This window comes from Homo sapiens, chromosome 11 (genome assembly GCF_000001405.40).
Source record: "Homo sapiens chromosome 11, GRCh38.p14 Primary Assembly".
Lineage (NCBI taxonomy): Eukaryota > Metazoa > Chordata > Mammalia > Primates > Hominidae > Homo > Homo sapiens.
In genome coordinates, this window is record NC_000011.10 from 71,863,955 (window position 1) to 71,890,089 (window position 26,135).

A 26,135-nucleotide genomic window follows, 5' to 3' on the forward strand; every position below is an offset into this window, starting at 1 on the left:
GTAGGCAGTGTTTGATTATTTGAAGTGCAATGTCAGTCTGCTTCCTCATCCAGTTCTGAACAAATATCATTTTCATTACTAATAGAGACCTACTTAGATAATATGGGTTAAAGCCTGCTAATCATGTGACCTTGCTAACATTGCACCTGAGAATTAGGCGCATGACCATTCCAGTCATTCCAGCACTTGAAGCAGGTCTCCCCTCTACTGCCCCCTGCCCCTAGAGAAGTAGAAAAGAAGACCTGCTTTCTACAAGTAGGCTCACTAGGAGGAGCTGTAGAGCTGAAGACTTGCTAACTCAGCATGCCTGGTTAGTTCTTTCCAAACTCTCCATCAGATAACTCCATTTCCTGGGGCCAAGAAAATTAAAGGGCAGGGAGGATACCAGGAGTATGACATGGCATGAGTGTCACAAAGATGGAAAACATCTAGAATGAGGCCAAATTACCTCACAAACAAAATTCAAGAGTTTGTATTTTTTTAACCACAAAGCTTATGGTCAATGAATCAGGGGAGGATGGGTTATCTCCCTATGCAGAGATGTCAGGAGTCTATTAAAATAACGCTAATCTCATCTTCATGGATCTGTTTCTTCAATACTAGTCATTACTTTTTCTATATCTTCTCAGAATCCCTCATGAACGGCATATTACTCTGAGATCAGATTCTAAGCTAATCTCAGAATAATACACTAATACAATTTTTACCATATACATTTTACACATAGCTGAAAATTTACATCTTCTCTTCTTTGTCATCTTAAGTTATGTGCCACTACATTATCCAGTGTAGCACATTAGAGATTCTTTGATAATTAAATGACATTAAGAGACTTTAAAAGTCATAAATAACCTCCTATATTAAAATGCTAAAAAAGAAAAATTTCCCACATTTGAATATAAACAAGTGTTCTTATAAAATTTCTAGGCATAAATTGAAGTTCAAAGATTGAATCTCTTCAATCTCTATGTTAAAGCACAAAGACATTAGAATCCAAATGAATTACTGCCTGAAATGAAATTATCTTCCCCTTGTTAAGTACAAATTTTTCTATTAAATGTAAGCAAAAAAAAAAAAATCACTCATTCCTTATTATCCGTCTTAGTGAATTAGTGAAAGTTTCTTCAGAGACTTGACATTGAATTAATATAACATCTCAACTCACTGAAGCAAAAAGAACATTTTTTTTTTTTTTTCGAGATGGAGTCTCGCTCCGTCACCCAGGCTGGAGTGCAGTGGCGCGATCTCAGCTCACTGCAAGTTCCTCCTCCCGGGTTCCCGCCATTCTCCTGCCTCAGCCTCCTAAGTAGCTGGGACTACAAGCGCCCGCCACCACGCCTGGCTAATTTTTTGTATTTTTAGTAGAGACGGGGTTTCACCGTGTTAGCCAGGATTGTCTCGATCTCCTGACCTCGTGATCCGCCCACCTCGCCCTCCCAAAGTGCTGGGATTACAGGCGTGAGCCACCGCGCCTGGACATAACGTTTTTTATCTCTGAGCAAGAAGAAAAAACAGCTAAGGGAAATGAAAAAGATAAGGAACAAAAAGAATCAGTCCAGAAAATCTAATTTCTTTTTATTTTTAAGTGAGACAAAGTTTATTAAGAAAGCAAAGGAATAAAAGAATGGCTATTCCATAGGCAGAGGAGCCTCTAATTTCTAATTCTGATTGTTTTTCTTAATTTTCTTTCTGATGATACTCTCGATTTTACCATACAATATTGGCCATTTAATAAAGAAGTTCAGGGACAGACAATAAAATATAAAGTAGAGCAATGTGTCTGATCTCCAGCACTGTCAACATTTTGAGAAGAACAGTTTTTTTTTTTTGCTGTGGGGATGTTTCCTTTATATTGTAGGATGTTTAGCAGCCTCTCTTGCCTCTAAAACATTTCTCCCACCTGTGAGCAAAAAATAAGTAAATAAACAAACAAATAAAAATCTCTACACATTACTAAAAGTTCTCTGAGGGCAACATTGTCCCTAGTTGAAAACCACTATAGTAAAGAAATTATCAGTTAAAGTTGAAAGTAAATAGGAGTTAGAAAATTCACTCAAGTAGAGACTTTGCCTGTAAACTTTCAAAAAGAAAGACAGCTTCACGTATAAAATAATAGATCAGAAAAGTCTTCTGACAATCCAAAGATGAATTATGTCTCTTTATCTGAAAGATATAGATCTAGAGATAACCCCTTTTTTTTTTTTTTACTGCTGTGCTTGTTGTTATAAATACCTGACCATATCTTAACCATTGAGATTTTAGGGCAATGTTGCTCTGATATCTCATCCAGAGGTGCAGAAATCCACGTTTTAGGACATTTAAAAGATTTCTGGGGAAAGGCTGTCTGTGCCTTTTGATAATAAGACTGGGTGAATTACATGCAATCTGTTGGAGTACTTGACTATATCTTCTGGAGAAGGCCATGTTTACTGTATACAATGATATGATTCTGTGCATGGAACATATTATATTGATACTAATTTATGAAGGCATAGTTGATAAACCCCAAAGGAGTTAATTTTATTGTTATATAAAGGCAAAGGCAGGCTGGACACAGTGGCTCACACCTGTAATCCCAACACTTTGGGAGGCCGAGGTCAGGAGTTCAAGACCAGCCTGGCCAACATGGCAAAACCCCGTCTCTACTAAAAATACAAAAATTAGCCAGGCATGGTGGTGGGTGCCTGTAATCCCAGCTACTCAGGAAGCTGAGGCAGGAGAATCACTTAAACCCAGGAGGGAGAGGTTGCAGTGAGCCGAGATTGCGCCACTGTACTCGAGCCTGGGCGACAGAGCAAGACTCCATCTAAAAAAAAAAAAAGACAAAGGCAATACTATATAACATGAAAGCTTGAGATACTCTCAGACCTTTGCCAGTTGTACATTTAGAAGTTTGTTTTGTTCTTTCTATCTTTCTGGAAAATTTGATATGATCGAGACAATAGAGTTTCCAAATAAATGGCAAGTCACAAAAATACTTGAAAATAGTCCAAGTAAAATGGATTTTACTATCACTAGAAAAAGATTGCAATTTCCATATTCAAAATACAAAATAAAATATTTTTGCTGCTGTAAGAACCATAACTCATATAACCTTGAAAGGTTTTTATATTAGATGTAAAGTAGTATGACACCCAATGATAGACTGTGATGGGTTAAAGAGCAATACTATGAACACTAAAGCAACTGTTAAATAACACAACAGTTTAATAACAAAAAAAATTGAATAATCACAATGACCCAACTACTTGAAAAAAAGAAGAAAAAGAAATCAAAGAACAAATGAAACAGAACATCTGTAAGATGGCTAAGTAGAAGGTCCCCAGCCTTCATCCACCCACAGAACAGTGATTTGGCAACCATCCATGGATAAAATGTCTTTGTGGGAACATCAGGACCCAGTCAGGAGGTCATGACAACCCACTAGAGCCCAAGACCAAGGAAAACTGCTTTGAGAAGGCAGGCCCATGCCCCTGGGAGTAGGCTCACCAGTCATAGTCCTGGCCATGAACACAGAAACACCGCCATCTGCCTGTGGACCCTGCTGCAGCCCTGCTTACATGTGGTTCCAGATGCAGCCTCAAAAGTCATTCCCAAAAGTCATTCAGGAGCAGGTTGTTTAATTTCCATGTAATTGTATGGTTTTTAGTGATTTTCCTAATATTTATTTCTATTTTTATTGGGATGTGGTCAGAGAGTGTGGTTGGTATAATTTCAAGTTTTTTGAATTTGCTGAATATTGTTTTATGGCCAATCACATGGTTGATTTTAGAGTGTGTACCATGTGCAGATGAGAAGAATGTGTATTCTGTTGTTGGGTGGACTGTTCTGTAGATGTCTTTTAGGTCCATTTGGTCAAGTGTTGAGTTAGGGCCTAAATATCTTTGTTAGTTTTCTCTCTCAATGATCTGTCGAATGCTGTCAGTGAGGTGTTGAAGTCTCCCACTACTACTGTGTGGTTATCTAAGTCTTTTTGTAGGTCCCTAATAACCTGTTTTATGAATTTGCGCACACTTGTCTTGGGTTCATATATATTTAAGATAGCTAAGTCTTCTTGTTGAATTGAACCCTTTACCATTATGTAATGCCCTTCTTTGTCTATTTCTATCTTTGTTGGCTTAAAGTCTGTTTTGTCAGAAATTAGAATGGCAACCCCTGCTTTTTTGTTTCCCATTTGCTTGGCAGATCTTTCTTTGAGCCTTTACTTTGAGCCTATGAGTGATGGGCTTACATGCAATGACACTGAAGACAGCATACAGTTGGGGCTTGCTTCTTTATCCAACTTGCCACTTTGTGCCTTTTAAGTAGGGCATTTAGTCCATTTATGTTCAAGGTTAATATTGCTATGTGTGGAGTTGATCCTGTTATTGTGTTGTTAGCTGGTTATTATGCAGACTTCATTGTGTGTTGCTCTATAGTGTCAATATCTATGTAATTAATTGTGTTTTGTGGTGGCTGGTACTCTTTCTTTTCCATATTTAGCACTCCCTTAAGGACCTCTGCCCTTAAGGCATGTCTGATGGTAACAAATTTCCTTAGCATTTGCTTGTCTGAAAAGGATTTTATTTCTCCTTTGCTTATAAAGTTTAGTTTAGATGGATATAAAATTCTTGGTTGGGATTTCTTGTCTTTAAGAATGCTGAATGTAGGCCCACAATCTCCTCTGGCTTATAGAGTTGCAGCTTAACAGTCCACTGTTAGCCTAATGGGATTCCCTTTGTGGGTTACCTGCTCCTTTTCTCTAGCTGCCTTTAATACTTTTTCTTTCATGTCGACCTTGGAGAATCTGATGACATATGTCTAGGGGATGGTTGTCTTGTGTAGTATCTTGCAGGGGTTCTCTGCATTTCCTAAATTTGAATCAACCTCTCTAGTGAGGTTGGGGAAATTTTTATGGAAGATATCCTCAAATATGTTTCCCAAGTTGTTTGCTTTCTCTCCTGCTCTTTCAGGGATGCCAGTGAGTCATATATCTGGTCGCTTTACATAATTCCATATTTCTCAGAGGTTTGTTCATCTTTTTGAATTCTTTTTTCTTTATTTTTGTCTAACTGAACAAGTCTTCTATTTCTGAGATTCTTCCCTCAGCATGGTCTATTTTTTTATTATTATTATACTTTAAGTTCTAGGGTACATGTGCACAATGCGCAGGTTTGTTACATATGTATACATGTGCCATGCTGGTGTGCTGCACCCATTAACTCGTAATTTACACTAGGTATATCTCCTAATGCTATCCCTCCCCGCTCCCACTACCCCATGACAGGCATCAGTGTGTGATGTTCCCCTTCCTGTGTCCAAGTGATCTCATTGTTCAATTCCCACCTATGAGTGAGAACATGTGGTGTTTGGTTTTCTGTCCTCGGGATAGTTTGCTGAGAATGATGGTTTCCAGCTTCATCCATGTCCCTACAAAGGACATGGAATCATCCTTTTCTTATGGCTGCATAATATTCCATGGTGTATGTGTGCCACATTTTCTTAATCCAATCTATCACTGATGGGCATTTGGGTTGGTTCCAAGTCTTGCTATTGCGAATAGTGCTGCAATAAACATACGTCTGCATCAGCATGGCCTATTTTGCTGTTAATACCTGTGATTGTATGATTAAATTCTCATAGAGAGTTTTTCATATCTATCAGATCAGTTTTGTTCTTTCTTAAAAGGGCTATTTTGTCTTTCAACTCATATCATTTTATTAGATTCCTTAGATTCCTTGAATTTGGTTTCAACTGTCTCCTGAATCTCGATGATCTTCATTCCTATCTTGATTCTAAATTATATGTCTGTCATTTCAGCCCAGTTAAGAACCATTGCTGAGGAACTACTGCAGTCCCTTGAAGGTAAGAAGACACTCTGGCTTTTTGAGTTGCCAGAGTTCTTGTGCTGCTTCTTTTTAATCTGTGTAGACTGATGTTTCTTTAATCTTTGGTGTCGCTGTCTGTATTAATCTGTTCTCAAGCTGGTAATAAAGACATACCAGAGACTGGGTAATTTATAAGGAAAGAGGTTTAATTTGCTCACAATTCCACATTGTTAGGCTGGGGAGGCCTAACAATCATGGCAAATGAGGAGCAAAATTACGTCTTACGTGGTGTCAAGCAAGAGAGCTTGTGCAGGGGAATTCCCATTTATAAAATCATCAGATCTCATGAGAGCTCACTCACTGGGGAAGCACCCCATGATTAAGTTATCTCCTTCTGGTCCTGCCCTTGACACATGGGGATTTATTCAAGGTGACATTTGGGTGGGGACACAGAGCCAAACCATATCACTGTCCTTTGGATGGGGTTTTTGCTCTTATATTCTTTGACACCTTTGATGGTTTGATTGTGGAATAAGGTGGGTTCCGTTGACTGGCTTCATTTCTGGGAAACTTCTGGGGGCCAAGGCTCAGCTCATTACTCCGGGGCTGTGTGCCCTAATCCTGGGAAGCTGGTACCAGGCTCCTGGCTTTGTTCTCTTGTCCCTTGAGGTGAGAAACCTGCTGCACTTGACATTGGACATCTTAAGTTCTAACTTAAAGTTCTAACTTAAGTTCTAACTGCAAAAGCACAGACAATGCAAGCAAAAATAGACAAATTTCATTATAATCAAAATAAAAAGCTTATGCACACCAAAGAAAACAATTAAAGAGACAGTCTACAGATTGGGAGAAAATATTTGCAAGCCATACATCTGATAAGGGGTTAATAGACAAAATTTATAAGGATCTCAAACAACTCTACAGAAAGAAAACAAATAGTCCAATTAAAAAATGGGCATGGGAGGTGAATAGACATTTCTCAAAGAAGACATACAAATGACCAATAAACATATGAAAAAGTGTTCAACCTCACTAATCATTAGGGAAATGGAAATTAAAACCACAATGAGATATCACCTCACACCTGCTAGAATGGCTACTACAGAAAAGAGGAAATGTAACAGGTGTGGGAGAGGATGTGTAGAAAAGGGAACACTTGCACACTGTTGTAGGAATGTAAATTAGTGTAGCCATTATGGAAAACTTATAAGTTTCTGAACAAAAATAAAAATAAAATTACATATGACCTAGCAATCTCACATCTGGGTATTTACTGAAAAGACTTGAAATTTGTATATTGAAGAGATGTCTGCATTTCCATGTTCATTGCAGCACTTTTTGCAATAGTCAAGTTTTGGAATCAACCTAAGTGTCTATCAACAGATAAATGGATAAAGAAAATATAGTATATATACACAGTAGAATACTATTCTACCTTAAAGAAAAGAAACTTTTTTATTTGCAGCAACAAAGATGGAATTGGAGAACATTAGGCTAAGTGAAATAAGCCTGCCACAGAAAGACAAATATTACATGTTTCACTTATTTGTGGAATCTAAAACAATCAAACTCAAATAAGCAGAGAGTAGAACAGTGGTTACCAGAGCCTGGGGATGGTAAAGGGATAAGGATATCATGGTCAAACAGTACAAAGCCTCAACTGGACAGGAGAATAAGGTTTCTTTAAGATATACTGCACAGCATGGTGAATATAGTAAAAAATGTATTATACATTTTGAAATTGCCAAAAGAATACATTTCAACCATTCTCAAGACAAAAAAATAATGATTTTAGGTGATTGGTGTGTGAATTACCATGATCTAATTATTCCACATTGAATTCATAAATCATAACATCACTTTGTACCCAATAAATAAGACAACTATAATTTATCAATTTATAATTAATAATTTGTTAATAAATAAGATAACAGGCAAAAGATTTGAGTACACATTTCACCAAAGAAAATATGTGAATGGGCATAAACAGATGAAAAGATTATCAGAATCATTAGTCATTAGTGAAATGCAAATTAAAACCACAATGAGAAGCCACTTAACACACACTAGAATAACTATAATAAAAATGACCAGTGATAAAATATGTCCATGAAGATGTGGCTAAATGAGGGCCCTTTACAATGCTGATGGAAATATAAAATAGTATCACCGCTTTGGAAAATAGTTTGGCCTTTTCTTAAAACTGATAAATATGAATATATCATGCAATTTAATGATACTATTCTTAGGTTTCTATCCCATATATTAGTATATGGATAAACAAAATGTACTATATCTATACGGAGAAATACTATTTCATAATAAAAAAGAACAAATACTAATAGATGATACATCATGGATGAACTTCCACAACATTATGCTGCAAGAAAAAAGCCAGTGAATGAGTTTATATATAACCCCCACACTCCCAGTCTTCAGATTAAAATGTAGCCCCAGCTGACAGCTTTTGTCTGCAACCTCAACACAGACCTTTAGCCAAAAGCACCCAGTTAAGCCTCATCCCACAGAAACTTGTGATAATCAGTTTGTTGTTTTAAGCCACTACATTTTGGAAAACCTTGTTATGCAACAATAACTAATACACTACCCCTGTGAAATTTCTATATTGTGCTTATTCTCTTTCATAAAATGTGTTGAGTAATCACCTAGCTCAATCTGTAATCTCATTTATTCTTAAGAAATAGGAATTATCACACTTTGGGAGGCCGAGGCGGGTGGATCACAAGATCAGGAGATCGAGACCATCCTGGCTAACAGGAGGAAACCCCATCTCTACTAAAAAAATACCAAAAAAAAATAGCTGGGCGTGGTGGCGGGCGCCTGTAATCCCAGCTACTTGGGAGGTTGAGGCAGGAGAATGGCGTGAACCTGGGAGGTGGAGCTTGCAGTGAGTCGAGATCGCGCCACTGCACTATAGCCTGGGTGACAGAGCAAGACTCCGTCTCAAAAAAACAAAAAAAGAAATAGGAATTATCTATTCCTTCAGGATTGTACATAAAATCTTGCTGGTTCTAGCACCTTTTGGATGTAAAAGGATACAACATTGACCACTTGTAAGTTTGTTTTGGTCAATATTATTCATTCGTATTTCCCTGAAAGTGTCCATTTCATTCACATATTCAGGATAGAGGGTTTAAAGGATTCTATCATGATATCAAAGCTCTTCTCTATCTGTAGTTTATGTTCCTTTTCTTCCCTGTATTATTTTTTTTCTCTTTTTCTCATGATGTTTTCCTAAGACTCAACTAATATATGAATCTTCCCATAAACTACCTAGTGGTCTTACTAAATAACTCTACAATGTTTCTTGCTTTGTTTTGTTTCTTATTTATGTGTGATATTATTTTTGTTTATTGCCTCCTATTTTGTTTCAGTTTTTTTCTATTTATTTTGTTATTTATTTCGATTCTTCAGTTGAGCAGTATGCTGCTTTCATACTTTCATGAATTCTAGTAAATGTCTTGAAAACCATAAATGTCCTTTTTTATACCACTTTGGCTGCAATCCACAGGATTTCATTTATAGTGCTCTCCGTTTTTTCAGATCTAATTATTTTGTATTCATTTTTATGTATGCCTTAGCCCAAGTGTTATGTAGGAATGTGTTGTGTTTGAATATCTCTATGTATGAATTTGGGAATATATCTTATTGTTATTGATTTCTGATATTAGCAACTTGCTGCAGGGAGCATGCCCTTTTCGATATCAATTTTATTTTAGAATTTATTCAATAATCATGGAAAGCCTCTCTGAGATGGTGACACAGGAACAAAGACTGAATGAAATAGGGGGACAGAGTTTCCATAGAAATATCTTAGAAAAGAATAATCCTTGCAATGGTAATAGTAAAAACAGAGGCTATGAGGTAGAAATGAGTTTGAAATGTTTATGGAAGAGCAAGAAAACTAATACGTGTGGAACAGAATGAAAAGAGGGAAGAGTAGCAGGAAAAAAATATCGGAGAAATATTCAGCAACCAAATCAGGTAGGACATTGTGTGCCATGTAAACAGACTGGATTTATTCTATGTAGTTTTTTTAAAAAACGTAATTAGATTTTCAATAAGGAAATAATTTGATTTAATTTGCATTTTAGAAACATATCTCTGGTGTCTGAACATAAATTAGAGTATGCAAAGCTCTCATAGAAACATAGAGACAAGTTAGGGGCTCTCTCCAGAGACACTAGTGACTTGGACAATGGTGCAATGACAGGGGAAGTGAACAAAGGTTGGATTTAAGACACATTTTAGGCCGGGCCCAGTGGCTCACACCCATAATCCCAGCACTTTGGGAGGCCAAGGCAGGCGGATCATCTGAGGACAGGAGTTTGAGAACAGCCTAACCAACATGGCGAAACTCCATCTCCACAAAAAAGAAATACAAAAATTAGCTGAGAATTGGTAGCTAGCACCTGTAATCCCAGTTACTCGGGAGGCTGACACACAAGAATCGCTTGAACCTGGGAAGCAGAGGTTGCAGTGAGCAGAGATCGCACCATTGCACTCCAGCCTAGGTAACAGAGTGAAACTCTGTCTCAAAAATTTTTAAAAATAAAAAATAAAAGAGATATTTTAAAGATAGAACTCGGCTTGCTAATGGGTTGTAATTATTAAATGAGAGAATCAAAGGTATGCTCAGAGTTTTTGTTCGTTTTTGTTTTTTAACCCAAACAACTAGGTACATGAGCCCATCACTGAGAGAGCAAGACTAAGGGGAGTGTGAGTATTAACAGAGAAAGTGGTATGAATCAAAAATTCATTTTGGAATTCTTGAGTTGCTTATTAGACATCCAAAAGTAGATGTCAAGTAAATAGTTGAATTTTTTTATTCTGAAACTTATAGGAAACATCCAGGCTAGAGCTAATACTTCATTTACACAGAGAGAGACAGCAACCTTGTGCCAATATGCTTCTCATAGCTATGAAGAGAATCTATCTATAGACTTGATCAACTCAAGTGCAGAAAGAGAAAAAAAAATTGCCTCCTAACAACTGATGGAGTGATTTTACTCATTTCGTTTGACCTTATGTCTATCATTTATTTTTACCTTATTTTCTATCTTTTTCTCTTATTTTGCTAGTTGAACAAAGTTATTATCCATTTTTTACCTATACTGGAAAATAGTGTATACTAAGATTCTCCTTTCAATTAACAACATATTGAACTAAAGGTTTTACTCGCTCCATATAAGTTAAGCACACCTGCAACTCCAGCAGCCACTTGGGTCAGGAGACCTAGCCAGAAATTGATTTGGAAATAGTAGAGAAGCCCCCTGGGACAATCTCATAACATTTAAATAGTGAAATTATAAACACAAAACAATGCCCAACAATGAAAGGATGATTACATAAATATATTATGAAATATCCATAATATGGAATATTATGCAGAAAGTAAAAATTACTGTTTTGGAGTATTTGAAAATAGTATAGGAAAATATTTATAATAAAGTAATACTTATTAATAAATAAAGCTATAGGTGAATCACAAGAATAAGAGAGAGAGAAATTTAATGGAAAGTAAATAAACTAAAATAGTAATGATCTTTTAAGTGATCAAGTAATGTGTTATATCTATTATCAGATAATCTTATTTTTTCCAATTTTACATGAAATAATATTTAGGAATCAATAAAAATAAAATATACTTATAGGATATAGGCATATATGTGTTTGTCTACTCTTATACAGAGAAAAACTTGTGAGTGACTTAGCAAAAGTATATTCAATGGAAAGCTGAGGGAAAATGTCAGCCACTTGTGGGGTAAGAAGTGAATGAAAGATAAAATGGAAATGAAGCATAGAGACTATGATTTTCCTGAGGGGGAAAGGGAAAAGCATTCATTAAAAAAAAAACTAAATACAGGAAAGTCAATTTTGTGTTTTGTTTTTAACATGGCAGGAACTTGAGGATATTGACAGACTTAAAGTAAGGAAAACAATGGATTTAGAAAGCTGGCAGCGCCGGGCACGTAGCTCACTGCTGTAATCCCAGCACTCTGGGAGGCAGAGGCAGGCAGATCACTTGAGGCCAAGAGTTCAAGACCAGCCTGGCCAACATGGTGAAACTTCATCTCTACCAAAAATAGAAAAATTAGTTGGGTGTGGTGGCACACACCTGTAATCCCAGCTACATGGGAGGTTGAGGCAGGAGATTCACTTGAACCTGGAGGTGGAGGTTGCAGTGAGCTGAGATCATGCTGCTGCCCTCCAGCCTGGGTGACAGAGTAAGACTCTGTCTCAAATAAATAAATAAATAAGAAAAAGAAAACCGGCATCAACAAGAAGAAAAATAGATAATTAATGCATCAAAGTCCCCAAAGCTGTCAGTACTGCTGAAGGCAGGAAAGGAAGGTAAACAATGAATACTTGATTATAAATTGTTTATTGAAAATCTGGTGTCTTCCTGGAGAGTTATGTGCAATAAAACTCTATAATTTCTAGGTCAAATTTAATTATCTAATGGTAAATTACCTTCATTCTTCTTCTACTGTGACAGCTTATATTTGATAGCTTGATAGCTATCTGATTTTCTTCTTGGTGTTCTTTTAAGAAAAGTCATTGGTCAAAGCACTTTATCTTTCTTTGCTGAAGCCCTCTGCAATCTAAGCCATCTTTTGATGTTCATCTGGTACCTACTGGTCCACCCCCAGAATGCAGTGAACCTTCCTCTGACCCTTCTTTGATATCCGTGATTGGTAGCCCATGGATTACACAATGTTCTTGGGCTTCCTGGGCAGAATTCCAAGCCTGCCTCCTGGCTCCAAATCTCTTAGGTTGGTGCAAACATAATTGCGATTTTTGCCATTGAAAGTAATGGCAAAAACCACAATTACATTTACACCAGCCTACATCAGGCTGGCAAACAAATGTTCATAGAAAATATCAAGCAGTGAAAATTATGCCCTTAGTGTTCCATAAAGGATTTCAATTATTTGTTCCCATAAATTGTATTGCTTTGCAGTGTAAACTGTACTTCCAAAGCTTTTCCTCGTGATCAAGAAAGAAATAATTCTCAGAGAGGTGAGAAAAAGCAGTAAATGCTGGATTCTTGATCAGAGATGCTAATGATCCTAGGCCATTCTGGCTTCAGTAAATGGAGCAGTCAGCAATAACCAGCACAATGACCCTAAGATCCCCCTTTGAGTTTCTAGGGTGCTGGCAGAGGCTTGTGCCCAGGCACCGCTGCCCCAGCAACTCAGGAGGAAGGAACTGAATGGAGGTTTAGGAAAAAACATCTCCAGAGCTTTCATGCCCCTCACTGGCCCTCCTTAGGCTAAGACTTGGGAAGTTTGCCTCTTCCAAGACCTCCCCATCCCTGACTCAAGATTTCATTTTCAAAGTCTCTAAAGGCAGGGAGGACCTGCTCAAATAATGTAACCACGTGTTCCATTCACTAACACTCTGAAGTATTATAGAAGTAGCACCAAGAAGAAGCCATGGCAGAAAGAGAACTTCCTTCTTGGTACTGAGAAAATTTACTTCACCTGTAGTGAAACCATCTAGAAAGGAATGAAGGTCAAGTAAGACCAGGAATGTGCATGTACTTTGCAGTCTCTGAAGTTGATATTCTGGCCAGACGTGGTGGCTCACCCCTGTAATCCCAGCACTTCGGGAGGCCGAGGCATGTGGATCACTTGAGGCCAGGAGTTCGAGACCAGCCTGGCCAACATGGCAAGACACTATTGCTACTAAAGATACAAAACTTAGCCAGGCATGGAGACGTGTGCCTGTAATCCCAGCTACTTGGGAGACTGAGGAAGGAGAATCACTTGAACCCGGGAGGCAGAGGTTGCAGTGAGCCAAGATCGCACCACTGCGCTCCAGCCTGGGCAACTGTGTGAGACTCTGTCTCTAAATAAAAAATAAATAAATAAATAAAGTTTACTCATACCCTCTTTAAGCATTCCCTACGGCACCCAAAGTATTCTGGTGTTTATGTTCATTTCCTTAGTGTCTAAGAAGTAATTTGTGCCTCTCTGTCAGAAATATGCTCGTGTTGCATTGCCGTTTCTTTGTATATATTATTTGCTTTCCGAAGTGTATTATAGGTTCCCTAAGGCCCACTCTTCTTTCTTTAATTCCTCTCATATTACATATAACTGATGTGAAAACAATTTGTGTTAACTTAGGTTTCAATATAAAAATTAGTTTATCTCATTCGATCGATTGGACAGAAAGATAATCAAATAAAAGTTTTTCTGTATCTCACTAGTCTGTTTATAATTCCATTGCTTAAGCATGCTAACACACGGTGCCAAAATAGTAATAAATAGGCATGCTGTTGTATTACGTGGTTCTTCCCATTATCAGAAAAATAAAATGAATGCTTTTCCTCTATAACTGCTTCCTTAACTTTTACAGTTCCTCCAGAATGCATAAGACAATGCTGATATTTCAAGTCTCTCTCCTGCCTTTGCCATGGCTGTGCTTTCTACTACCTTTGCACACACCCTGTTGACCTTTGATAAATGTACTTTAAATGACTGATAGTCATGATGATTGCATGCTGTCTCCTGATATAAAATCTCATTGAAACACAGAAATGTTATTGCTCCTGAAAGGTTCAATAATCACTCAGCAACTCACCTCTTCAGAGGACTGAATGTACACAGAAGTCCTCTTCATCTCAACTACTGATTCTCTCTAACCTGCTTTACCTATTCAACCATGAGGGTCTTGTTTTTTGTCTTTGGAGTCCTTTCCTTGATGTCCACAGTTCCTCCAAGTAAGGCAGAAACTTTTTTATTCCAAAGTTCTAAAAATATAAGTAAAAGAAAATGCAAGGTCTTTCAAGAGTCTGAAAATAAATTAGGCATGGGCAGATTTTACTGTACCATGAAGGCTGCTCAGAAGATTGAAGAGTTGATACTAAAGAAATAAATAAGGTGGTTCACTGCAGTGATTTAACCTATGATAAACTCACTTGAGGCCAGGCACAGTGGCTCATGTCTATAATCCCAGCATTTGGGGAGTTTGAGGTGGGTGAGCTTGGGAGTTCTAGACCAGCCCGGTGGGGGCAACAGGGTGAAACCCCATCTCTACAAAAAAAAAAAAAATACAAAAAATTAGTCAGGTATAGTGGCGCGTGCCTGTGGTTCTGGCTGCTCAGGAAGCTTAGGCAGGAGGATCGCTTGAGCCTGAGATGTCAAGGCTGCATTCAGCTTAGTTCATGCCACTGCACACCAGCCTGGGCAACAGAGTGAGACCCTGTCTCAAAAAATAATCATAAAAAAAAATAAACTTACTTGAGAGTTGTGTTTGATCAAAAGATGGTGAGAGGATGCACACAGAACACAGGAAATTTAAAGAATTGGAAAAATGAAAAGCGAATGAAGACTAGAAGAAGGGCTAGAGGTGAAGAGGTGGATGCTCCACCATAATCCTTGGTTCACAGGATAAATTCACCACTGATCCAGGCAAGGACCTAGCCTCTGTGTTCCTTTAAAGTTGAATAAAACTCATATGATATCATTTAATGTATATGGAAATTACTTTTTGTATGGTGAGAGTTAAGATTCCACCTTAATTTTTAACCACAAAACTAGCCAATTATATATAAGCATATTTATTAAATAATCAATATGACTTTCCCAAATTAATTTTAAAATTCATCAATACCCCATAATAAAAACATATTAAACTGTGGTTCATACCTGAGATTTAGATTACTGGTTGACTTATTGATCATTTCTGAAGCACATTTTAATACTTCACAATTCAAGATTCCCTCATTTATATAATACTTCATGATTCAAGATTCCCTTATTTATATAATTATAAATAATTATGCCTTTCCCCCATGAATGTTAGTGGGTTTTTTATATTTTTATTGAGATAAAATTTACCATAATATTCATTGCCTTAAAGTGTTCTATTCAGTGGTTATCAAGTGTATTCTTAAAATTGTGCACCCCTCACCATTATCTAATTCCAGAATATGTTTATCAGCGCAAGAAGAAATCTCTCCTCCTCCCAGTCCCTAGCAACCACTGATCTAATTTTTGTCTCTATGTATATTCCTATTCTGGACATTTACTATGAACAGAATAATAAATATCTGATCCTTCATGTCTGCCTTCTTTCATTTAGCATAATGTTTTCAAGATTCATCCATGTTGTGGCATAGATTCGTACTTCATTCCTTCATTCAGTGGTCATCAGTATATCCCACTTTAAGAATCCACTGATACTCACTAAATGGAACACTCTAAAGGAATGAATTTTATAGTAAATTCTATCTCAATAAAAATATAAAACACCAACATTCACGGAGGAAAAGTATAATTCTGTATAATTATATAAATGATGGAATCTTGAAATAAATTTTAAAATGTGCTCTGAGGTAACATGTGCCTCAGAAAAGATAAATAAGTCAATTGATAATCTAAATCTCAGGTATAAACCACAGTTTAATATGTATTTATTATAAAGTATTGGTGGATTTTAAAATTAATTTGGGAAAGTTAGATTGATTATTGGTGTTGGTAAAAAAAATTTCATCATATGAATTATTTAGCATATGGTTGTTTATAACAGACTCTAATGATCCATTGTGTTTCTTTTATATCAGTTGTAATGTCTCCTGTTTTATTTCTGATTTTATTTATTTGGCATTCTCTCTTTTGTTCTTGGTTAGTCTAGCTAGCAGTTTATAAAGTCTGTTTATCTCTTCCAAAAGTCAACTTTTTGTTTCATTAATTCTTTGAATTTTTTAAATCTCGAATTCACTTAGTCCTGCTCTGATTTTTATTATTTCTTTCCTTCTCCTAAGTTTGGATTTCATTTTTTCTTGTTTTTCTTGTTCCTTGAGGTGCATAGTAGCTTGTTTATAATCTTACTATGTTCTTGCAGTAGGCATTTATTGCTGTAAAATTCTCTCTTAGCACTGTCTTTGTTGTATTCCATAGGCTTTGGTATGTTGTGTTTCCATTTGCATTTATTTCAAGAACATTTGTTATTTTCTTCTGAGTTTTTTCATTGACTCAATGGTTGTTCAGAAGCATGTTGTTTAATTTCCATGTTATCTGTATAGTTTCCAAAGTTCTTCCTAGTATTCATTTCTAGTTCTATTCTATTTTTGTCTAGAATATACTTGATATAATGTTGATTTTTCAAAATTTGTTGAAACTTGTTTTGTGTCTTAACATATGGTCTAGCCTGGAGAATGTTCTGTGTGATGAGGAGAAGAATGTGTACTCCACAGCTTTTGGATGAAATGTTGTGTAAATGTCTGTTAAGTCTATTTGTTCTGTGGTACAGATTAAATTTGATGATTATTTGTTAGCTTTCTACCTAGATGATCTGTTCAATGCTGAAAGTGGGGTATTGAAGCCCTCAGTTATCATGATGTTGAGGTGTATCTCTCTCTTTAGCTCTAATGACATTTTTAATATATCTATTCCACTACTGGGTACATATATATACATATTTGGAATTTTTATATCCTCTTGCTGGATTGGCCCTTTTATCATTATATGATGGCCTTCTTTGTCTCTTTTTATGTTTTTTCACTTAAAGTCAATTTTGTCCAATATAAATATAGATGTATTAGGCCATTCTTGCATTGCTATAGGGTTATCATAATAAAGTACCACATAATGGGTGCCTTAAATAACAAAAGTTCATTTTCTCACAGTTCTGGAAGTTATAAGTCTAAGATCAAGACGTCAGCACATTTGGTTTCTCCTGAGGCCTGTCTTGGCTTGCAGCTGGTTGCCTTCTTGCCATGTCCTCTTATGGCATTTTTTTGTGCACATGAATTCCTGGTGTCTCTTCCTCTTCTAATAAGGACATCAGCCATATTGCACGAGGGCCATACCCTGGGAGTCTCATTTTAGCTTTATCAGTCCTTAAAAAAAAAAAATCTTCAAATATGATTACATTCTGAGATACTAAAGATTGGGACTTTAACATACAAATTTTGGAGGAAAACTGGTTAGCCCATAACAATGAATTCATCAATAGACTGATATGATCAAGGAAAGAATCAGTGAGCTTAAAGAATTTTAAATAGCAACTTCCAAAACTTAAAAGCAAAGAAAAAAGAATTAAAAAGAACAGAATATTTAATAAGTGTAGGCCAATTAGAAAAGGAAAAATATATGTGTAATGAAGTATCAGGAGGAGGAGAAAGAAAGGAACAGAAGAAATATTTGAAGAAATTCTGACTGAGATTTTCCCAAAATTGAAAATAAACAAAATCTACATATCTAGGAAGCTGAGAGAATACCAAGCAAGATAAATACAAAAAATTTAAACATAGGCATATTATATTGAAACTGCCAAAAATCAAAGACGAAAAGAAAATCTTAAAAGAAGCCAGGAGGGGAAAAAATCTTTATCTATGGACAACCAAGGATAAGAATTACATCAGACTTCTCTTAAACCACATAAGCAAAAAGAGAGGAAAGTGAAATATTTAAAATGTTAAAAAAAAAAAAAGAACACTATCTTAAAACTCTCTACTTAGCAAAATTATCTTTTTTTTTTAGACAGAGTCTCACTTTGTCACCCAGGCTGGAGTGCAGTGGCAGTGACCTTGGCTCACTGCAGCCTCCGCTTCCTGGGTCCAAGCAATCTCGTGCCTCAGCCAGCCACCACCACGCCTGGCTAATTTTGTATTTTTAGTAGAGACTGGGTTTCACTAGTTTGGCCAGGCTGGTCTTGAACCCCTGACCCCAGGTGATCTGCCCGCCTTGGCCTCCCAAAGTGCCAGGATTAAAGGTGCAGGCCACCATGCCCAGCCTACCCTCTAAATTAAAGTAAAAATACATAATTTTCTTAGGTAACCAAAAATAGAGTTTGTCACCAGTAGTCCTACCTTACAATAAAAGTAAAAAGAAATTCTTCACTCATACTCAATGGTGAAAAACTAAAAGCTTTTCTTCTAAGATCAGGAACAAGGCAAAAGTGCCCCTTCTTGCCACATTTATTTAACATGATTCTAAAAGTTCTAGCAAGAACAATTAGGCAAGAAAAGGAAATAAATGGCATCCAAACTGTTGGGGGGTGGGAATGAGTAAAATTATCTATTTCCAAATGACATAATTTTTTTGTAAAAAACCCTAAACTTCACTCCCCCAAAATTATTAAAACTAATAACAAATTCAGTAAAGTTGCAGGATAGAAAATCAACCTACAAATACCAGTTGTGTTTCTATAGCACTAACAGCAAGCAACTGGAAAGCAAGTAAAGAAAATCCCATTCATAATAGCAAGAAAAAGATAAGATATTTAAGAATAAACTTAACCAAAAGATGAAAGACTGGTACATTAAAAATTGCAGACATTCATGAAAGAAATTAAAGAAGACACAAATCAGTAGAAAGATATCCTATGTTCATGAATTGGAAGACATAATAATATTAAAATATCCATACTATTCAAAGCAATTTATAGATTATATACAATCCCTATCAAAATCCTAATGGCACTCTTGACAGAAATAGAAAAAACAATTTTAAAATTCATATAAAACCACAAAGGACCCAGAATAGTCAAAACAATGAGCAAGAAAAACAAAGCTAGGGGCATCACATTTTCTAATTTCAAAATGTATTATAAAGATAGAGTAATCAAAACTGTGTGCTACTGGGATAAAGATAGACATATAGGCCACTGGAAGAGAATAGAGGGCCAAGAAATCAACTGACACTTATAAAGTCAACTGGCCTTCAACAAACATGCGAAGAATATATAATGGGGAAAAGATGGTTTCTTCAATACGTGGTACTAAGAAAACTGAATATTCATATGCAAAAGAATAAAACTGGGCCTGTATCTTACACTACACACAAAAAGCAATTCAAAATGAACTACACATTTAAACATAATTACCTGAGACTGTAAAACTTATAGAAGAAAACATAAGGAGAAACTTTCATGATGTTGGTCATGGCAAATATTTTAACTTATAAATTGTAACAAAAGGATTTGGGAAGGATTGGTATGTTTAAAGGGAATATTTATGGGAGATTATGGGTTATAGGCTCCTGTCCATATCTCAGTAACTTCCTCAGTAAAGGAGACATGGCCTTGAGCCCGAATACACTGGGAAGCTGGAACTAAGACTCAACTCCTTCTGACCCCTTCTCTCAATTAAGGATTCTTTTTTCTCATTTCACCAAGAACAGAGAAGCAACCAAAGATAGCTTTTCCACTTTTCCACCACCATATCTCTTCACATGGTTTTATCTTTATCCATAATCTGCCTTCTCTTCACTCTGTGATTCAAGGCCAACCCCTCCACTTACACTAGATTCCATCCCCAATGACTTTTTTAAGAATTTAACTCCAGAAATTAAACATTATTTCCTGCATTATGAATCTCTACACCACCCCCAAGCTGGATAATTCATTTTAGGTAGAAATATGTGGTAATAGTTCTCATTTAAAATTCTGTACATTTCCAACTACTGCCTCATTTACTACTCTCTTTACAGAAGAAATCATCGTTTGTCTTTATTCAGCATCTCCACTTTTTCTCTTGCATTCTTTTGCTGTTGTTTTTGTTTTTCTGGGAAAGTTCTGTAATGCTTTTAATTTATTATAAAACATTTCAGACATTTAAACATAAAAAGTAAGTAATATTGTGTCATATAATTTGTCTTCTCTTTTTAAAGCCAGAAGCTTCACTTCTAATGATGAATGTCCTTCAGAATATTATCATTGCAGACTGAAGTGCAATGCTGATGAACATGCAATTAGATACTGTGCTGACTTCAGCATCTGCTGCAAACTGAAGATCATTCAAATTGATGGACAAAAGAAGTGGTGAAAATTCTAACTCCATCTTCTTCAGACTCCAGGAGAAAAAACATGTCTTAAACTCTCTTATCTATGAATAATTAACATGATAGATGAAAATTATTATAATTGCATGTTTAGATGGTCAGGTGAAAATGAATATAAATTTTATAAATGCTTACACTCTATTTTCATTTGTGCATTTTAACATTTACTCCCTTAATTTACATCCACAGCCACATTGTTGTTTCACCCATAGTACTATATCCGATGCGGGGAGTAAGAGCCAGCCCCTTTTGCCCCCCTGGCTCTTAGAACCCCTATCGCAGGGGGGTGAGGCACCACCAGCGATGCTGGGAGTAAGAGCCAGCCCTTCTTGCCCCTCTGACTCTTAGGACCCCCATTGCAGGGGGATGAGGAGCCCCCCACGATGCAGGGAGTAAGAGCCAGCCCCTCTTGCCCCCCTGGTTTTTAGGATCCGCGGTGGATACACAGCCTGTTTATCAAATTGTGAGTAATATCATCTCCCGCTCTGGAGATTATGAACTGTTTCACAAACCGGTGTACACCCTGGGTATACAGAGATTGTACACCCGTCTGTATTGGGTGTCATATCATCTTCTTCCTCCCTGAATATTAAGAACAGTATCAAAGGGGTGTTTCTACTCCCTGGGATATCGCGTGTCATATCCTCCTCTCCCAAGTTGCAATTAGAAACAATATCAGTGGGGGTGTGTCCACCTTCTGTGATATTGAAAGTAATATCACATTCTTCCCTCCAGGATCATGGGAACAATATCCTTGGTGGTGTCCACTTTCTGCCATATATATAGTCCTATCAGCCCCTCCGCTTTGGAATGTTATTAAGGACCATCTCACACGGGGGTGTACACTTCCTGCGATGTTGGGAGTAATAGCATTTTCTTCTTCTGTGAATTAGGAGCAAAATCACCGGGTGGATGCACACCCAGTGCTATATTGGGAGTAACATCATACTCCACCCCTTGGAGATTATATTCGGATCAATATCACCGGCTGAGTGTACACCTACTGCGATATTGAACGTAATATCATGCTCTCTCCCACCCTGGACATTAGGAGCAATATCACAGGTGGGTGTACACCCACTGAGGTATTAGGGAGTAATATTAGTGTGAATTATACCTCATTTATTATTAACATGAATATGAATGACCGATATTAATATTAATATTAAGAAATAATTGCTAATAAAGTTTTCAGATTATTAATATTAATATTAATTCTTAGGAGCTAATATTACTGTTTTCTAATGAATAAGATCAATATCAGTTATTAATATCAGGCATCATTAATCATTAATATTAATCATGTATTGTTACCATTAGTATAACTATTTAATATTAATTATCATTATTATCGGTATTGATTTTTAAAAATATTATGGGTTATTAATATTGATAATTATTAGTGTCAATTAATAATTGAGATTATTAATTGCGGTAAGTCGCATTGCGCCATTCCACTCCTCCCTCGGCAGCTCGTTTACGACCCAAAAGGGGACACAAATGCCCCTGAGAGAGCAGCCGTAGACTGGGATAGATGAGGATGGTCACGTGGTGGAGAGGCGTGTTTTTGGGTACCAGCCCTTCACCTGCGTCAATCTTCTCAACTGAAAAAACAATACACCGTCCTATACCGAAAAGCCACAAGCCCTAATTGATTTGCTCCAAACTGTTATCCAGACCCACAACCCCACCTGGGCTGATTGGCACCAGTTGCTCATGTTCCTCTTTAACAGCGAAGAAAGGCGGAGAGTCCTCAAGCAGCAACTAAGTGGCTAGAGGAACATGCACCAGCTGATTATCAAAACCCCCAAGAGTATGGAAGGACCCAGTTGCCAGGAACAGACCCCCAGTTGGACCCACATGAAAGAGAGGATATGCAAAGGCTAAACCGAGACAGGGAAGCTCTCTTGGAAGGATTAATGAGGGGAGCTCAGAAGGCCACAAACGTTAACAAGCTCTCTGAGGACATTCAGGGTAAAGAAGAAAGTCCAACACAATTCTACGAGAGACTGTGGGAGGCCTATCGTATGTATACTCCCTTTGATCCTGATAGCCCTGAAAATCAGCGCATGATTCCCATGGCTTTAGTCCGTCAAAGCGCAGAAGACATGAGAAGAAAACTGCAGAAACAGGCTGGGCTTGCAGGGATGAATCCATCCCAATTACTAGAAATAGCTAGCCAGGTGTTTGTAAACAGGGATGCAGTAAGCCGTAAGGAAAACGGCAAAGAGAATGGAGGTCAGGCCCGGCGATATGCCGACCTGTTTGTCAGCTGCAGCAATCAGAGGGGCCCCCACAAAGAGGCAAGGGAAGGGAGGCCCTGGGAAAGAAACTCAGCTTGGCTGTCAGAGTTTGCAGCATAACCAGTGTGCTGATTGTAAAGAAATAGGACAGTGGAAGAACAAATGCCCTCAGCTCAAAAGAAAACAAGGTGACTCAGAGCAGGAGGCCCCGGACAAGGAGGAAGGGGCCCTGCTCAACCTGGCAGAAGGGTTCTTGAACTGAGGGAGACAAGACTCAAGCGTCCCCATTGAGCCTCTGGTCACAATGACAGTCGGGGGTGGAGACATTGACTTTCTTGTAGATAGCGGTGCTGAACATTCGCTAGTAACCGCCCCGGTCGCCCGGTTATCCAAAAAGACTATTGACGTCATCGGAGCCACGGGGGTTTCAGCAAAGCAAGCTTTCTGCTTGCCTTGCACTTGTACTGTAGGAGGATATAAAGTCATTCATCAGTTTTGGTACATGCCTGACTGTCCCTTGACCTTTTCGGGAAGGGACTTGCTCAGCAAGCTGAGAGCCACTATCTCTTTGACAGAGCACGGCTCTTTGCTGCTAAAGTTACCAGGAACGGGAGTCATTATGACACTTGTGGTCCCCCGAGAGGAGGAAAGGAGACTTTTCTGAACTGAGCCAGGCCAAGAGAGAAGACCAGCTCTGGCTAAGCGGTGGCCAAGAGTATGGGCAGAAGACAACCCTCCAGGATTGGCCAGTTAAGACTGGGGCCCTGCCAGTGAGGCAAAAACAGGGGCCGGTCCCCAGAGAAGCCCTTCAAGGTATCCAGGTCCATCTCAAGCACCTAAGAACTTTTGGAATTATTGTTCCTTGTCGGTCTCCATGGAACACTCCCCTCCTGTCTGTTCCCAAGTCACGGACCAAGAACTACCAGCCGGTACAGGATTTGCGCTTGCTTCATCAAGCTAAACTGACTTTCCATCCAACAGTACCTAACCCGTCCACATTGTTGGGGTTCCCGCCAGCTGAGGACAGCTGGTTCACCTGCTTGGACCTGAAAGATGCTTTCTTTCCTATCAGATTAGCCCCTGAGAGGCAGAAGCTGTTTGCCTTTCAGTGGGAAGATCCGGAGTCAGGTGTCACTACTCAGTACACTTGGACCGGGCTTCCCCAAGGGGTCAAGAACTCCCCCACCATCTTCGGGGAGGCGTGGGCTCGAGACCTCCAGAAGTTTCCCAGCAGAGACCTAGGCTGCGTGTTGCTCTAGTAGGTTGATGACCTTCTGCTGGGACACCCCACGGCAGTTGGGTGTGCCAAGGGAACAGATGCCCTACACCGGCACCTGGAGGACTGTGGATAGAAGTGTCCAAGAGGAAAGCTCAGATCTGCTGACAGAAGGTATGTTACTTGGGATTGACTATCCGACAGGGGTGGGAAGGCAGCCCGGGATCAGAAAGAAAGCAGGTCATTTGCCATCTAGCGGAGCCTAAGAGCTGAAGGCAGGTGAGAGAATTCTTAGGAGCTGTGGGGTTTTGTAGACTATGGATCCCAAACTTTGCAGTATTAGCCAAGCCTTTGTATGCGGTCACCAAGGGGGCGGGGACCGGGAAACTTTGGAATGCGGATGCCAACAACAGCAAGGCTTTCATGAGTTAAAGGAAAACCTCTGGCAGCCCCAGCCCTGGGGCTACCCGATCTAACAAAGCCTTTTCCATTATATGCATCAGAGAGAGAAAAGATGGCAGCTGGACTTTGAACCCAGACTGTGGGGCCCAGGCCGAGGCTGGGGGCCTACCTCTCTCAACAACTAGACGGGGTTTCTAAAGGATGGCCCCCCTGTTGGAGGGCCTTGGCAGCAACTGCCCTGCTAGTACAAGAAGCAAATAAGCTGACTCTTGGGCAAAAACTGAACATTAAGGCCTCCCGTGCTGTCGTGACTTTAATGAATACTAAAGGACATCATTGGCTAACGAATGCCACACTCACCGACTACCAGACTTTGCTCTGTGAAAATCCCCGTATAACCATTGAAGTTTGTAACACCCTCCACCCCGCCACCTTGCTCCCGGTATCAAAGAGCCCTGTCAAGCCTGGTTGTGTAGAAGTGTTGGACTCAATTGACTCTAGCAGACCTGACCTCTGGGACCAGCCTTGGGCATCAGTAGACTGGGAACTATACTTGGATGGGAGCAGCTTCTTCAACCCCCAAGGAGAGGTGGAGGGTATGCAGGGGTAACCCTGGACACTGTTGTTGAAGCCACATCATTGCCCCAGGCCACTTCAGCCTAGAAAGCTGAACTCATTGCTTTCATTCGGGCCTTAGAACTCAGTGAGGGTGAGACTGTCAACATTTACACTGATTCTAGGTATGTCTTTTCAACCCTTCAAGTTCATGGAGCGTGATAGAAAGAAAAGGGCCTATTGAATTCTAGGGAAGAGACAGAAAATATCAACAAGAAATCTTGCAATGATTAGAAGCAGTATGGAAACCCCACAAGGTGGCAGTTATGCATTGCAGGGGACACCAGCGAGCTTCCACCTGGCTGGGTTTGCGGAATTCCCGCGCTGACTCAGAGGCTCGAAAAGCAGCATCTTCCCCCTTCTGGGCATCAGGGCTCCCTCAAGCACCTGATCTGGGACCTACTTCTTCTAACGAAGAAAAGGACTTTCTCCAGGTAGAGGGAAGGACAAGTGATGGAGGAAGGATGGATTCGGTTAGCAGATGGGAGAGTAGCTGTGCCACAGCTGCTAGGAGCTGCAGTTGTACTGGCTGTGCAAGAAACCACCCATCGAGGTCAGGAGTCACTGGAAAAGTTGTTAGGCCGGTATTTCTACATCTCGCCTTTGTCTGCCCTGGCCAAAACGGTGAGGCAGCCATGTGTTACCTGCCGACAGCATGATATGAGGCAAGGTCTAGCTGTTCTGCCCGGCATAAGAGCTTCTGGAGCAGCCCCCTTTGAAGGTCTCCAAGTGGACTTCACAGAGATGTCAAAATGTGGAGGTAACAAGTATGTAGTAGTTCTTGGGCATACCTACTCTGGGTGGGAGGAGGCCTATCAAACACGAACAGAGAAATCTCGTGAAGTAACCCCTGTGCTTCTTCGTGATCTGATTCCTAGATTTCGACGGCCTTTAGGGATCGGCTCAGACAACGGGCCTGCGTTTTTGGTTGCCTTGGTACAGAAGACGGCAAAGGTATTGGGGATCACACGGAAACTGCATGCAGCCTCCCGGCCTCAGAGTTCCGGAAAGGTGGAGTGGATGAATCGGACTATCA

The 26,135-nt window shown here is 38.8% G+C and overlaps 2 protein-coding genes and 1 long non-coding RNA gene across 6 annotated transcripts in view; 1 reads left to right on the forward strand and 2 right to left on the reverse strand.

Moving 5' to 3' along the window:
- XNDC1N-ZNF705EP-ALG1L9P (XNDC1N-ZNF705EP-ALG1L9P readthrough) overlaps positions 1 to 26,135 on the reverse strand; it is a 123,614-nt gene that overhangs the window by 58,974 nt on the left and 38,505 nt on the right. The gene's annotated exons all lie outside the window — the stretch shown is intronic.
- XNDC1N (XRCC1 N-terminal domain containing 1, N-terminal like) overlaps positions 1,555 to 26,135 on the reverse strand; it is a 63,086-nt gene continuing 38,505 nt past the window's right edge. Inside the window, exon 7 of one of the 2 annotated variants that reach the window (NM_001375848.2) lies at positions 1,555 to 1,900. In NM_001375848.2, coding sequence (NP_001362777.1) covers positions 1,883 to 1,900 — 18 coding nt within the window. In that variant the 3' untranslated portion in view covers positions 1,555 to 1,882. Of the gene's footprint in view, positions 1,901 to 16,749; positions 20,668 to 26,135 lie in introns of those variants that run through there. The other variant, NM_001375847.2, reaches the window with a different exon arrangement.
- Positions 14,499 to 20,607, forward strand: DEFB131B (defensin beta 131B). Its single transcript, NM_001242853.1, has 2 exons — positions 14,499 to 14,556; positions 20,453 to 20,607. The coding sequence occupies exons 1-2, from the start codon at positions 14,499 to 14,501 to the stop codon at positions 20,605 to 20,607; spliced, it is 213 nt and encodes a 70-aa protein (NP_001229782.1).